This window comes from Homo sapiens, chromosome 12, assembly GCF_000001405.40.
Source record: "Homo sapiens chromosome 12, GRCh38.p14 Primary Assembly".
Lineage (NCBI taxonomy): Eukaryota > Metazoa > Chordata > Mammalia > Primates > Hominidae > Homo > Homo sapiens.
In genome coordinates this window covers 64,883,513-64,898,538 of record NC_000012.12, presented here as the reverse complement: position 1 = coordinate 64,898,538, position 15,026 = coordinate 64,883,513, and the positions used below count along the sequence as shown (strand labels likewise).

Here is a 15,026-nt window from a genome sequence, read left to right as displayed (position 1 = left end):
TTAACTCCCTAGAGCTGAAGGCACATACCAGGCAGCAACATCATAGTCTTGAAATCTAAGATTCAACTGGGATTTGCCAGTCCCAGTTGAATAATAGTGGTTCCAAGAACAGACTGTGGAAGCATCTGATGTTCCTCTCCATGGACCCCAGAATATCCTTTTCTTTCTCATGTTTACTCCAGGGCAGCAACAGAGCCACTGTTACTTTTTGTCACTTGTAACCAAATTGAATTCTAATGTATACAGCTTCCTAAAGGAAATTAGTCTTGAACAATGAGCAGGAGTTAACCAAGCACAGAAAAGTAGATAGGGTGTTATAGAAGAGTAAACGAGTTAAGCACAGGTTTGGAGGTGTGACTCTGCACGGTAAGTACATGGAACCATGGATGTGGAGAAGTCCAATATCTGCTGCAAGGCACAGAGAAGCTGGACACAAGCCTGGAAAACATGGGGAAAACTAAGTCTGAGATAACATTGTATGCCACACAAGGGAGCCTGAATTTTATCTTGATTAGGATGGGAAGCCATACACAGTTTTTAGACAGGGAATGATAGACTCAGATTTGCATTTAGAAAGATCACTCTGGAAATAAAGAAGGGAGTGAAAGGCAGCAAGCTGGAGTCAGGTAAGTGACTGATGCAATAGTCCAGACAGAGAGGGCCCTGAAACTTACCTGCACCCTTGGAGCCACATAAAATAAAAATAAGCCTACCCCTAGAAGTCAGAGACAGCAAGGAATCTTGTACTGAGTTATTGTGAAGAATTCATATGCCAGCTCCAGTCCTTTATTTGGACTGAAAAGGATAGAATATAAAGAATAGTGTGTCTTAGAACTGTCTGGTCCAGTTGGCCCCAGCCATCAGACCTGCCTCTGACTCATGAAGCCATCACCCAACAAAAATAATTAATTTCTAGACCTTTTTCTCATTCTAGACCTGTGTCCAGAATCATTTCAACCTGGATCTGCCTTGTCCTTGGTTCTAAGGCCCTTGATGTGGTCTGACAGTCAGCACTCTAAACTCACGCCCAATTCTCTGATACTTACCAGCCATTGCCCCATTTCTTTGTTTTCCTTTGCAAAAAAACCTCTCCCAAAACTTTTAAGTACTAGTTGTCTGCAATCTCCCTTTCCTTCCATTCTGTCTTAAGTCCACCCAACACATACACTGAAACTGTTTTTCTCAAGGTCATAAATGACACGCATGATGATAAATACAATGAATAATTCTCAGTTATCAACCAATTTGACTTAGCAGCATTTTTTTTTCTGGAGACATCATCTCACTATGGTGCCCAGGTTGGCCTTGAACTCTGGGGCTCAAGTGATCCTCCTGCCTCAGCCTCCCCAGTAGCTGGGACTACAGGCACCTGATGCCATGCCCCTAATCAGCAGCATTTGACACACCTCCTTGTTGATAAACTTTCTTCACTTGCCTTCCAGGATCCACAACTTTTAGTTTCCTCGTATTTGCCTGATTACTCTTCTGTCTCCTTTGCTGGTTCCTCCTCTTCCTCTCTACCTCTTAAATATTGCAGTGTCCCAGGCTCTGTCCTTGGTCTTCTCCATCTACACAAGGGTTTCTCAACTTTGACACTACTGACTTTTTGGCCAGATAATTCTTTGTTGTTGGGGGCTGTGCTAGGCATTATAGGATAGATATATATATAGTAGCATCCCTGCTCTCTGTCCACTAGGTACCAGTAGCAACCACTCCCCACAACCAAAAATGTTTCTAGACATTGTCAAATATCCCCAGGGAAGCACCTCTGGTTGAGAACAAATGCTCTAGGTCTATAGGAAATTCTCTTTACTATAAGTGTCTTAGACCTTAGTGATCTCTTCCAGTCTGAGGTTTTAAATACTATCTATATGCCAATGATTCCCAGTTTTACATATCCAGTCCAGACCTCTCTCTTGAACTTCAAATGGACTAAAATGTTCAAATTCCCATTCAAACATTTTGCTTCAATATCTAGTGGACATCCCAAACTCCCTATGCAATCTTCCCCATCTCAGCTGAAGGTAACACCACTCTTCCAGTTGCTCAAACTAAAAGTCTTGGAATAATCCCTGACTTCTCTTTCTTTCACATCCTGCATCCTGCCAAGAAATCCTATTAACTCTACCTTGAAAACACATCCAGAATCTGACCACTTCTTACCACTACTACTACCCTGATCCAAGTCATCATGATCTCACACCTGGGTCGTCGCAGCAGCCTCCTAACTGGTCTCTCCTGATATATCTTTGTGCCTCCACTGTCTACTCTCTGCAAAACAACCAGAATGAGCCCTTTAAAATATGCCAGATAATTCCACTTCTTGCTCAAAACACTCTGTCTTCTTAACTTATTCAGAGAAAACTCAAACTCCACACAAGTCTCTGCAAGTCTCTTGTCACTTTTCTGACCTAATAAACTGCTACGCTTAGTTATCATCAACTGAGATGAAAAAGCTGAGGGGGGCAGGTTTGGAAGGAAGATCAGGAGTTCATATTTGGATGTTCTTGTGTCTGGTACTCAGAGGGAGTTCTGGACTAAAGGCACACATTTGGGACTTGTTGGCATAAAGACGGTATTTAAAGACATGAACCTGGAACAGGTCACCAAGGGAGTAGATATAGATAAAGAGGGGCTAGGGCTGAGCCCCAAGGCACCTCAGTATTAAATGGATGGGAAGAAAAGGAGAAACCAGTGATAAAAACTTCAGCTGAATTAAACGTAATGGAGTTTAACTGAGCAATGAATGATTCGTCAACCAGGCAGCCTTCTGAGCCAGAATAGGCTCTGAGATTCCAGCGCAGCCACATGGGGGAAGAAGATTCATGGACAGAAAAAGGAAAGTGATGAATAGGTAATGGAAGTGAGGTACAAAAACAGCTGGATTGGTTACGGCTCAGCATTTGCCTTATTTGAACATGGTTTGAACAGTTGGCTACATTTGATTGGCCAAGACTCGGTGATTGGCACAACTGTAGGATATGGGTCTGTTTACACCTCCACTTGTTATGGTTCACAAGGTACAGAGAAACCTTTAGACCAAACTTAAAATATGTAAGGAGGCAGCTTTAGGCTAAATTTGATATAATACCAGCAAAGGAGATTGAAAAGCAGGAATCAGTGAGGTAGAAGGAAAACCAAGTGTGTGTCATATCCTATAAGCTGAGTAAAAAACAGTCTGTCTATGAACAAAATCTGAGTCAAAAGTTTCCCTCAAATTCTAGATTCCTCTTAGAGACTTTTCCAGGAAATGTATAATCAAACTATTTGCATTCCAAATGCAGCCTGCAATGTAAATATCTCTTTCATCACTGCATTATATTGCCCATTAATTTGTCACATGCAGTTCTTGTGGTTCAGATTCTTATCTTCATTTAACATGTGTTTTCCTACTTATGACGGTCACAACTTAATTAAATAAACTGGAAGCTTAGGTATAGCATGAATAGGGCATATATATGTAGAAATATCAAACTGACACATATGACTAATATCTGAAATATAGTAATTACATTGTCTAATGATATTAATCTCGTCATTTACCAAAATGAGTAGCTCAGGACCAAAACTTGGGGGAGCTATTTCTAACTCTAAATTTCATCATAACAAACCCTTTTAAACACATAATGGCTAATATTTAATAATCTGGTATTTTATCAGACAATATATTAATTATTTGGTTAATTTCAAGGGTTTTGACCAACACTTACTGAGTTCTTGGAACCACTTGACTTGGTTATTTCTTCCATTGATATAGATTAGTATTTAGCTGGCCGGTGTGACATTCATGGGTTATTGTAGCAAGGCATAAACAAAACCAGACTTGTAACCAGTCAGTGTCTTTGTAAGAAAAGAGATGTGTGATATAGTTCTAGCTCACAACAGATAAGTGGTTTCTCAGAAACATTTAGTCCCCTGTAAAACTGAGGCTGCCTCTTTTTTGCTTATGATCACCCTTTTAAATCAGAAGAAGCTTCTAGAAGTTTTATTCCCAAAAAGTCTTCAAGGCCATATTTCCCTCAAACAATAATTGAGCTCCAGGCACTATCAGCAGTGGAGGATGGCACATGCTTTCATATTACCCACTTCTGATTTCCCTGATACACACTATTATTCTGCAAATTCTTTGAGATAATCACATATCTATGTGTACCATATTTAACTAAAAGTGTGGAACTAAGTCACCATTCGAAAAAAATTATAAAGCATCATCTTTACATGATGATAAATAGAATCCCAAATCCAAGCTAAATTTCATTCATATTCCTTGGTATTGACTCAGAGTCCATAAAAATGAGTCAGATGCATCTAAAGTTCTTGTAGAACAAACACAAGCAGTCATGTTTTAGCAATTAGGATGAAGTCAGAGCAAGCATACGTTTCAAATCTGTGAACGACAGGATCCTGGGAGAGTCCACTAAAACAAGAAACGAACAAAGGGTAGACTAATTGTCATATCTCCTAGCTAAGTGGCAGGTATGACTGTGAAGTACTCAATAGCCACTAACTGAATGAATGGATGAACAAAGACCTAGGTTTGTGGTGAAAATTTTTGTTTAAAAACTACAGGATAAATTGAACTAAAGAGTTTCTGCAAAGCAAAGGAAACTACCAACAGAGTAAACAGACAACCTACAGAATGGGAGAACATTTTTGCAAACTATGCATCTGACAAAGGTCTAATATCCAGCATCTATAAGGAACTTAAACAAATTTACAAGAGAAAAACTAACAACTCCATTAAAAAGTGGACAAAGGGCATAGACATTTTCAAAAGAAGACATTTATGCTGCCAACAAGCATATGAAAAAAAAGCTCAACATCACCGATCGTTAGAGAAATGCAAATCAAAACCACAATGAGATACCATTTCACACTAGTCAGAATGGCTATTATTAAAAAGTCAAAAAATAACAGACGCTGGTGAAGTTGTGGAGAAAAAGGAACGCTTATACATTGTTGTTGGGGGTGTAAATTAGTTCAACCATTGTGGAAAACAGTGTGGTAATTCCTCAAAGACGTAAAAATAGAAATACCATTTGAGAAAATAATCTGTACAACAAACCCCATGACACAGGTGTACCTATATAACAAACCTGCGCACGTACCCCTGAACTTAAAATAACAGTTAAATTAAATAATAAATAAAGTACAGGATGGATCTCGGCTACTCAGAAGGCTGAGACAGGAGGATTACTTGAGCTCAGGAGTTTGACAGCAGTTTGGACAACATAATAAGATCCCATCTCAAAAAATTAAATTAGGCAGGCATGGTGGCTCACAACTGATTGTAATCCCAGCACTTTGGGAGGCCGAGGCAGGTGGATCACCTGAGGTCAGGAGTTCAAGACCAGCCTGGCCAACATGGTGAAGCCCCGTCTCTACTAAAAATACCAAAAAATAGCCAGGCATGGTGGAGGGCACCTGTAATCCCAGCTACTCAGGAGGCTGAGGCAGGAGAATCACTTGAACCCGGGAGGTGGAGTTTGCAGTGGGCCGAGATCGCACCATTGCACTCCAACCTGGGCGACAAGAGTGAGACTCCATCTCAGAAAAAAAAAAATTAATTTAATTAAAATTAAATTTAAATTTAAAAATAAGCAGTACACGGCCAGGCATAGTGGCTCACACCTGTAATCTTAGCACTTTGGGAGGCTGAGGCAGGCAGATTGCTTGAGCTCAGGAGTTCCAGGCCAGCCTGGGCAACATGGAGAAACCGCGGCTCTATAAAAATGTTTTTAAATGAGCTGGGTGTGGTGGCACATGCCTGTGGTCCCAGATACTTGGTGGGCTGAGGCTGGAGGTTCGCTTGACCCTGGGAGGCTGAGATTGCAGTGAGCCAGGATGGCACCACTGCACTCCAGCCTGGATGACAAAGTGAGACCCTGTCTCCAAAAAATAAATAAAAATAAGCAGTACACAATGGAAAAAAAAAATTTGCTTGACACTGATTCTGAGAAAAAAAAAGACTTGGGAATTTAAATCTACCTCAACCACAAATGAACCAATATTGTTATAGTGTATAAAAAGTTGATATAATCTTATTCAATGGAAGCTTCCAGATCGAGTGCAGTAATTGTCCCTATACCTTGCATGAATTGGACCTCACCTGGAATGTTATGTCTCATTCCAGGAAAGACACAGTAAGAACACTGACAATCCCAACTGTCTCCAGGAGATGCTCTGGATTGCTTAGCACAGGGCCTTGGCCCTAAAGCTGCTCAATAAATAAGGACTGAATTATCCCGAATCAATCCTTCATCATCCTTCCTTCCTATCTCCTGAATTGATGAGGAGTCTGGAAATCATGAAAAATGATTAAAGGAAGTTGAAGGGAGGCAACTTCTGGCTTAATATAGAATATGATTTCTAACAGTGCTGCCGCACAAGGAAATGAAACGCCCAACCAAGTAGGGATCTTAGTACAGAGAGTGTTCCAGCAGGTGAGCACTCATGTACCAAGGATGTTACCAAAGGATTGCTTGCAGTAAGTGGGAGACTGAAGCAGGTGACCTCCAAGAGCTCTTTCAACTCTGAGGTCCCTGAAACAGATGTCAGGGTCTGTAGAGGGGATCTCCATGGCCAGCTCAGGACACTGTAGGGCTGGCCCTCCTCCCTCCTCAATGTGAGCCCCTACTCTATATGCTGAGGAATTCCTCAGAAGGTGACTTTACTGACCTGAGGAATTCCTCAGCATATAGAGTAGGGGCTCACATTGGGGAGGGGTGCTGGGCTTCAGCGGCAGCTTTACCCTTTGTGCAGCCAGGGATAGCCACCTGGTGGGGCTTGTTATGACAGAGTGACCTGCACTGGACACAAGGTAGTGTGTATGCCCTAAATCAGACAGAACATTTATTTTCCCTTACTTACAATAAATCACTCTACTTGTTTTAAAAGGAAGCTGGGCCAGGTGAGGTGGCTCACGCCTGTGATCCCAGCACTTTGGGAGGCCGAGGCGGGCAGATCACTTGAGGTCAGGAGTTCGAGACCAGCCTGGCCAACATAGTGAAACCCTGTCTCTACTAAAAATCCAAAAATTAGCCGGGCGTGGTGGCGCTCGCCTGTAATCCCAGCTACTTGGGAGGCTGAGGCAGGAGTATTGCTTGAACCCGGGAGGTGGAGGTTGCAGTGAGCCAAGATCATGCCACTGCACCCCAGCCTGGGTGACAGAGCAAGACTCCGTCTCAAAAAATAAAAATAAAAATAAAATAAAAGGAAGCCGTTTTCGAAGTCATTCTTCAAGAAATAATGATCCTTAGCTGGGAACTTTGTACCTGGGTGCCCCTTATTCAAATGCCACGTCTATATACTTTTTAAACTTTACTAGATTAGAGCACAGGTGAAGGAGGTAACAATGGGACCCATTCTGCCTTTCCTCACACAAGCACTCAGTTAAGAGTAAAATGTCCAGCGTAAATTGCTAGAGCCAAAGCAGCTGGAAAATATTTCCATGAAGCAATAGTGACATCTAGTGGTCAGATGAAATAATCACACTCCTGCTCACTTCAAGTGAAGGAGGGAAAAACAAAACCCCAAGCCTTTTTACTCTCCTTTTATACCTCTTATCCAACCATACCTGACAGGGAATTGGTTGAAAAATCAAAAAAGTCAGTAAAACAGAGAATCATTAAAATTATACATGCAGAGCTCACTAAACACTTTAACCTGGAACATACACCTAACTACGCATGTATTCACCAATCATGTGATGCATGGCCAGGGTCTCTTTCCTGAATGCAGATCCACCAAGTTGCTGCTAGTCTCTGTTGCACAAACCAAACCATTGTACATCATATACAGTGCCCAGCGTTTGCTTATTATATGGTGAGAACCTTAAGACACTTGTGAAACAAAATTCCCTCCGCTGATTTTTATGATTTTTTTTCTCTTATAGTTGTCTCTCTCACCTTTTATTCAATGATGCTTTTTTGGTAACTCAGTTTTATCGAGCCTTTCCAAAGCTTTCATCTTAGATTTTATAGGAACGGCAACTCTTTCTCTTTGTACTCATATTTCATCTGTTTATTAACTATCTGATCAAATACAAATCCTCCAAACATAAACAGGAACAAATGAAATGGAAGGAAGATGTTTATTTCGATAAGGCTTACCTATGTTCATTTTTTTCCTAAGCCAGGGGGCAGGAGTATTTTTAAATCTGATTTAAATTTCCAACGTCCACTGCAATTATTTCATTTCACCTCTCTCTCTCTTTCCTGCAGCGCAATTTCCCCCACCTCCTTCACTTACAGCCCAAACTCCCATCTCCTGTTCAAATGGAGTAGAGATTCCGTCACTCTCTCCCACCTCTACCTGCTGTACTTCCCCACACCAGCTTCTCAACATTCCTGTTTCTTCAGCCTTCCTTCTTATCTCAAAGAAGAGGAAGCTCCCAAGTGTGCATTTACCATTTGGTGTTTGCCTTTCGTTCACCCAACTGTCCTTCCCTGCGGGACTTTAAACTCCGTGAGGGAAGGAATGTGACTTTACTGGTCTGTGAAGCTCCAGAATCCCATCCTGGCCTGAGAACATTGCTCTTAGTGTCAATAATATGAGGTCATGGCTCACTGGAGAATCGGGATAACACCGAGGAGAGTGGTTAGTCATGCCTTTGGGAGACCTTGAGGAACACAGGTCGTCTACCAGGAGAAGCCGTAATGTCATGTCCAACTCCAGCTCAGAGTTTTGTGAACTCAGTTGTAACTACGATTTTTCAGTTCCCAAATACCTTGTCAGTTCTCCCTTCACATGGCAAAACACAGTGTGTTAACTAAGGAAGCCAAGCAGCAAACCCATGGTGTCTCTTACTCTGACAGTCCACCCTATCCCTTGACACTATCCCAGACTTTTGACTTGAAAGCGTAGCCTAACACCTTTAAAGAACCAAGGCTAATGAAGTTTGCATATCTTTAGGGAAGTCCAAGTGCCTTTCACTGGGCCATCAAGTGCTATTGGCAAGAAAGATAAGGCAATAGGAGAGCCAATGTAAAGCAATTTGTTAAGATAATAGAAGAAATGGAAAGGCATTATGCTAATGTTCGCAAATGTATGCCCAATTAAGGCAAATCTGCCTTGGGGCGATAATGCCTGATCCCTGCATTGGACAGAAAGGAATATTTGGAAGTTTTTCTGCCAGCCTAGTCAAATTCAATTCTGTGTGAATATTAGCCCTTGTGAGTAATAACAGACCTCTTTAGCATCCACTAATTCATATTCTTTAACACACCATCATTTTTCCCTCAGATTAGAAACATACTTTTTTTTCTCTTTAGGCTAAAACATGCCATTGTTCTGACGTCCTTTCCGGCTTTATCTAAGAGTGAAAAACAATGCCAAGCGGCCCTTGCCTCTTTCATACACCATGCCCATTAGCTGTACCCCTGTTAATGGGTCTTGGCTTCCATTTCCTGCAAAACTATGACTTTTTAATAATCATGGCCCTTTTGTTCCCAAAGCAACTTAAAAGAGGAGGGACACCAGTGTGGGTCACTGTATTTTAGGATCTAGTTGCCCATGTGGTGTGCACACACCATGAGAGGCCAGCAGTTGTTCCAGTCCAACCCTGACTCTGAGAGAGAAAGATTTTCTGAGTGTCTGTAGTACAATATCCTCTCCCGTTGCCTCCCAGATCACAATCTTCCATTACATCACATTAGTGCAGTGGTTTGGGGGTTGGGGGGACAGGCTTTTAGAAGGACCGTCACCAAGTGGTTAAGAATAAGGGAGCTACAGCCACACACCCAGGTTCAATTTCATCCTCTGCCACTCTCTGGCTCTATGACCTTGAGAAAGTAACATCCTCTCCAAGCTCCAGTTTCCTCATCTATTGCAGAAGAAGGAACACTAAAGCCAGGCGTGGTGGCACGCGCCTGTAGTCCCAGCATTTTGGGAGGCCAAGGCAGGAGGATCACTTGAGCCCAGGAGTTCAAGATTACACCGAGCTATGATTGTGCCACTGCACTTCAGCCTGCGTGGAAAAGTGAGACCCTGTCTCTTAAAAATAAAAGAAGAAACACTGGTATTTACTCTGAGGGGTGGTTATGAGAATTAAAGGAGGCAATCCATGTAAGGCTCTTAGCACAGTGCCTGTCAAACAGGAAGCACTCAATAAATATTAATTGTTATTTTGTGTTTATCTTCCTTCACTATCCCATAGACTCATAATTCTCAAAATTTATGGTCTCTAAACCTCTTTAGACAAGATTTAAACTTAACATAAGCTCTCAAAAATTATGAGGACCCTAAAGAGCTTATACATGATATCTTTTATTTAGTGTATTATAAGTAAAGTCAAAATATTTTAATTCTTTTAAAAATACAATAAATCCATTATCATAAATAAGATTCTATGAAAAATAACCACATTTTCCAAAACAAAAATATTTGGTGAAAGAGCAGTATTGCTTTACATTTTTGCAAATCTCTTTCCTATGTGGTTTAATAGAAGACAGCTGGGTTCTCCTATCTGCTCCTGCATTCAAGCTGTTGTGATATCACACATTATGCAGCCTCTGAAAACCTCCTTGTATACTTGTGAGAAAATGGGAGTGAAAAAGGCAAATCACGCCCTGATGTTGCTATGAAAATAGTATGACCTCTCGGACTTTATGAAAGAACCCTGGAGCAGTGTCCAGATTTTCTGATGTCAATATCAGCACCGCAGAGTCTCAAGTTCCAAGTCAGTTCATTGTTGGAGTTGGGAGAATTTTCCCAGACTATAAGGCCAACAGAATTGGATGTGAAAACAACTGCTGGTGCAACTGTGACTAGGCCCTAATTAAATGAGGCAGGAAAACCCTTAATCCCAACCTCACCATATACCCTCCGGTTCAGAAACTCAGGCCTGAGCCATGCAGAAGCCAGACCCCTGTTGTTCTGCCATTTGGATGAAGCTTGTTTGTGAATAAAATACTGGAATCCATCCATTTCTCCGGATTGAACATTAGCAACTGTTTTTTTTAATTGCTTTTCTTGTTTTTGTTTTTTTAATTTGTTTTAGAAGACAGTCAATTCAAAAAAAATTTTCTTGATGTAATTCCTTTTTCAAAAATTATCTTTTTAAATTCTGGAAATCCAATGTTTATGACTTAAGCCTTGTTATTTTTATACTATTAAAGGTTTGGGGTTTAAGGCTTTGTTTTGTGTTTTTGGCAAGCCTTTAAACAAATATTGTTGTTGAATAAGAACCTCTTCAAATGTTTTACTCATTCTTTATTGACCTTTCAAGATACACACAGTAGTGACATCACAGCCACCATGTCTAGCAGTGACACTCCAAACCATTTACCAGGCAAACTTAAGGAGTGGTTCATTCTCTGCACCTGGTGGGGATGGACAGTCCCTCCTGGAGGGGATCCATTGGTTACCTCTAAGATAATTTCAAAAGAAGGTGGAACTGGGACTCTCTGGGGCTGACTACTTTCTCAGGGAGAGGCATCAGGTGCAAAGCTATTTTTATCTCTTCAAAGCTCTACAACACAGGCTAGTCTTCCCCTCCCCCAACTATTTCTAGAAATTTGAAATGTTATTGTATCAGTCAAGACTAAATTGCTGGCACCAAACCCAAATTGAAGAGAAGACTTTTGGAGGGTAAGGGGTGGAGTATCCTCATTTATTGGAAACACTTTGCAATCATTCCACTCAATTTAGGAGGGCTGTGAAAATATAAGCATAAATAAAAATAATATATAAAACAACATAAACAATACAAATAACATCATGTATGGATTTTTGGCTGTGAAAATTATAACAGCAACTTATTACTATGAACAGCATGCTAAGTAAAAATGGTCCTATTCTTAGCTGAAGCACATTCTAATCTCTAGGTCTGTCTCTATCTCTGTCTTTCTAAATTATCTATACTATTTCTATACCTATACCTATATCTCTCTACATATGTAGCTCAGAAACTTTGTACTTGCTGTTTCCTCTTTCTGGAACATTCTTTCCCCCAAATACATGGATGAGGCCTTCTGACACTATAGCAGTCCCTAACAGCAGCTGTGGGCTCTCCTGTGATTCTCATATCAGTGAGCCTCCTACACCAATGATATACTCCATGCACATGGTGGGGGTTAGGGGATTGGGAACATATGGCAACTTGCCAATGTCAGAATGTTATTTTAAGTCACTTAATTACACCGAGCTACAGATTTTCATCAGTGAAAAAAAAGAGTGGTCCAGACTGGTAGTTTCCAAACTCTGTTCCCCAGAACCCCAAGATCTCCCCCAAAGCAACTTCAGGGGTAATGCTGGCAACCAGAGAGGAAACCAGTGTGCAGAGCTCTGGCCTCTCTGCCCCCACCTGAATGAGGGTAGTGGTTCAGTTGTACTCCAAAAGTCCAGATATTCACCCTAAAACATACAGGGATTTAGTATGTGATTATAAAGGTGGCATTTTTAATCAATAGGGGAAAGATTAATAAATGGTGCCGGCACCACTAGGTAACTATTTGGAAAAAATAAATGTTAAGATGGAACCTTAGTTCCCAACTTACACAAAAGTAAATTCCAAATGAGTCAGATTTAAACATAAAAAATGAAACCATAAAACTAGTAGAAGGAAAAAATTAAAGAACTTTAACCACAAAGAAGTAGAGAGAGCCTTTCCAAACATCACACAAAACCCAGAAGCTATAATAGAAAAGATTAATAGATATGACCAAATAAAAATGACCTTAAATCTATATACATGTCAGTAAATCAGCATGAACAAAGTCAAAAGATAATTGACAAAATGAGAAAAATATTGTGACACAGATTACAGACAAGGATGTTTTTCTTAACGCATAAAAAACTCACAAATCAGTAAGAAAAAGGCTGGGTGTGGTGGCTCATGCCTCTAATCCCAGCACTCTGGGAGGCCGAGGCAGGCTGATCACGAGGTCAGGAGATCAAGACCATCCTGGCTAACATGGTGAAACCCCCATCTCTACTAAAAAAAAAATACAAAAATTAGCCAGGCGTGGTGGCGGGCACCTGTAGTCCCAGCTACACGGGAGGCTGAGGCAGGAGAATGGCATGAACCCGGGAGGCGGAGCTTGCAGTGAGCCGAGATCGCACCACTGCACTCCAGCCTGGGCAACAGAGTGAGACTCCATCTCAAAAAAAAAAAAAAAAAAACCAGTAAGAAAAAAAACAGCAAGAATGAGCAAAGCCTATGAACAAAGGACATATAAATAACTTTTAAATATATGTCAACCTTATGCATATTTTTCAAACATACATTAAGTACTCACCCAATCAGAAAAGATCAAAAAATTTGATAAGATTCTCAGTAATGTGGGGGTAGGAGGAATTGGGCACTTCCTTACATTGCTGATGGAAGCAGAAACTTATGGAACATCTGTGGAGAGCAATTTGGCAACATGTATCAAAATTTTAAATGTGCATTGTTGACAAGTAATTCCATGTCTTAGAATTTATTCTTTAGCTAACTTCCTTATTAGCAATATTACATCATATGTACAAGGATATGCATATTCCATAGATATGAAATTGGAAGCAAACAAATAATCTAATAATAGATTAGAGAATAAATGTATTGTGCACAGACCTGAAATGGAAATCTATGCAGCAGTAAAAAAGAACGAGGTGGCTCTACTTGCACTGTTCTGGAACAATCTCCATGGTACATAGTGAAAAAGGAAAGTTCAGAAGGTTATTGTGTTACTGCTTACGAAAGTGTGTGTGTGAGAATGTGCTTGAATATGCATAAAACATCTCTGAAAGGATACAAAAGAAAGGAGTAACATCGGTTTCCTGTGGGTAGAAGCTTTGAGTGGATAGGGGACAAGGGGTGGAGGGAGACCTAGTTTTCCTATGTGCTTTTTCGTACATGTTAAATTTTCACCTTGTGCAAATATTATCTACTTAAAGTACAAGTCTAAACAATAATTTTATAATGTTCTGCTCCTTAAAAACCTTTGAAAATCATTGAGCTACATGATGCCTAGGATTGCCATTAGTAATGTTTATTATTGTGATATAACCACTTTTTATTAAATAATATCATGATTCTGTAATTTGTTTCACACTTGACAAATGTACTAGAAATTCTGCTCCATAGCTATACATGCAACAAAAATCTTTACACTTTTCACCATCTGTTAAATTCTGTTGCATAGACATTTGTGGAGTTCATCACATACGTTATATGTAGCTCAACCTTCCCCAGACCTTAGCAACTTCTTGGTCCAGATAGGGTCCCTGCAGCAACAATGACTCAACACCGTTCTCACAGACATATTTTGAAACAGGGCCTATAAAGTCCTCCCATCCCCTTAACTGGGCAAGGTTTTCTTTTTATATGTATATATATATATTTTTTTTTATTATACTTTAAGTTCTAGGGTACATGTGCACAACGTGCAGGTTTGTTACATATGTATACATGTGCCATGTTGGTGTGCTGCACCCATTAACTCGTCATTTATATTAGGTATATCTCCTAATGCTATCCGGTTTTCTTGAAATCTTCAGGGGGTGCCTCTCATGTGTTCCCAAACAAGTATGCTCCCAGCAGGCACTCCCACGGCTCTGCTGAACACTGCAGGTCCCGTGAGACCCACTTTCTCACCCAGCCCTGCTGCTTCCCCGCAGACGCCATTAGAGATGCCCTAGAGCCCCCCCCCCCCCCCGCCCCCGACCCCCCGTGAGAAAGCTGCCGCTCACCTGGGGGAGATGGAGCGAATGCCACGCTCTGTTTCCATTGCGTTCTGTCAGACAAATCCCACAAATATGCTGCTTGGGCTCCCAGATTTTATGGAACTTGGTGACACAGCTCTTCTTGTTTTGCTCACAGTCACTCTGCCCTCAACAGGACTCCTCCGGGAATGCAGATGGAACCGGAATGGTAGACAAAACTGGGGAAAGACAATCACCTCTCCTTCTGTGATGAGAATATAAGACCAAAGAAGACTCAAAGGGCTTGAGGAAAGAACCATCTTCAGAAAACAAGAACCATGTTCCTTGACTCTGTCACCTCTCTACACCACCTATTATTATCATGGGAAGACGGAGCCAAA

General features: G+C 40.9%; 1 long non-coding RNA gene across 1 annotated transcript in view, besides 2 other annotated features; it reads right to left on the bottom strand.

Annotated features, from left to right (window-relative positions):
- LINC02389 (long intergenic non-protein coding RNA 2389) overlaps positions 1-14,765 on the bottom strand; it is a 93,749-nt gene extending 78,984 nt beyond the window's left edge. Inside the window, exon 1 of the long non-coding RNA NR_033988.1 lies at positions 14,674-14,765. This is a non-coding gene — a long non-coding RNA (long intergenic non-protein coding RNA 2389). The remainder of the gene's footprint in view (positions 1-14,673) is intronic.
- Positions 8,402-9,043: an enhancer, noted in NCBI's record as "OCT4-NANOG hESC enhancer chr12:65283276-65283917 (GRCh37/hg19 assembly coordinates)". NCBI's record gives its function as "activates a minimal SCP1, AML or CMV promoter by ChIP-STARR-seq in naive H9 embryonic stem cells {active_cell/tissue: H9 hESC(naive)}" and the evidence as "EXISTENCE:reporter gene assay evidence [ECO:0000049][PMID:30033119]".
- Positions 9,044-9,686: an enhancer, noted in NCBI's record as "OCT4-NANOG hESC enhancer chr12:65282633-65283275 (GRCh37/hg19 assembly coordinates)". NCBI's record gives its function as "activates a minimal SCP1, AML or CMV promoter by ChIP-STARR-seq in naive H9 embryonic stem cells {active_cell/tissue: H9 hESC(naive)}" and the evidence as "EXISTENCE:reporter gene assay evidence [ECO:0000049][PMID:30033119]".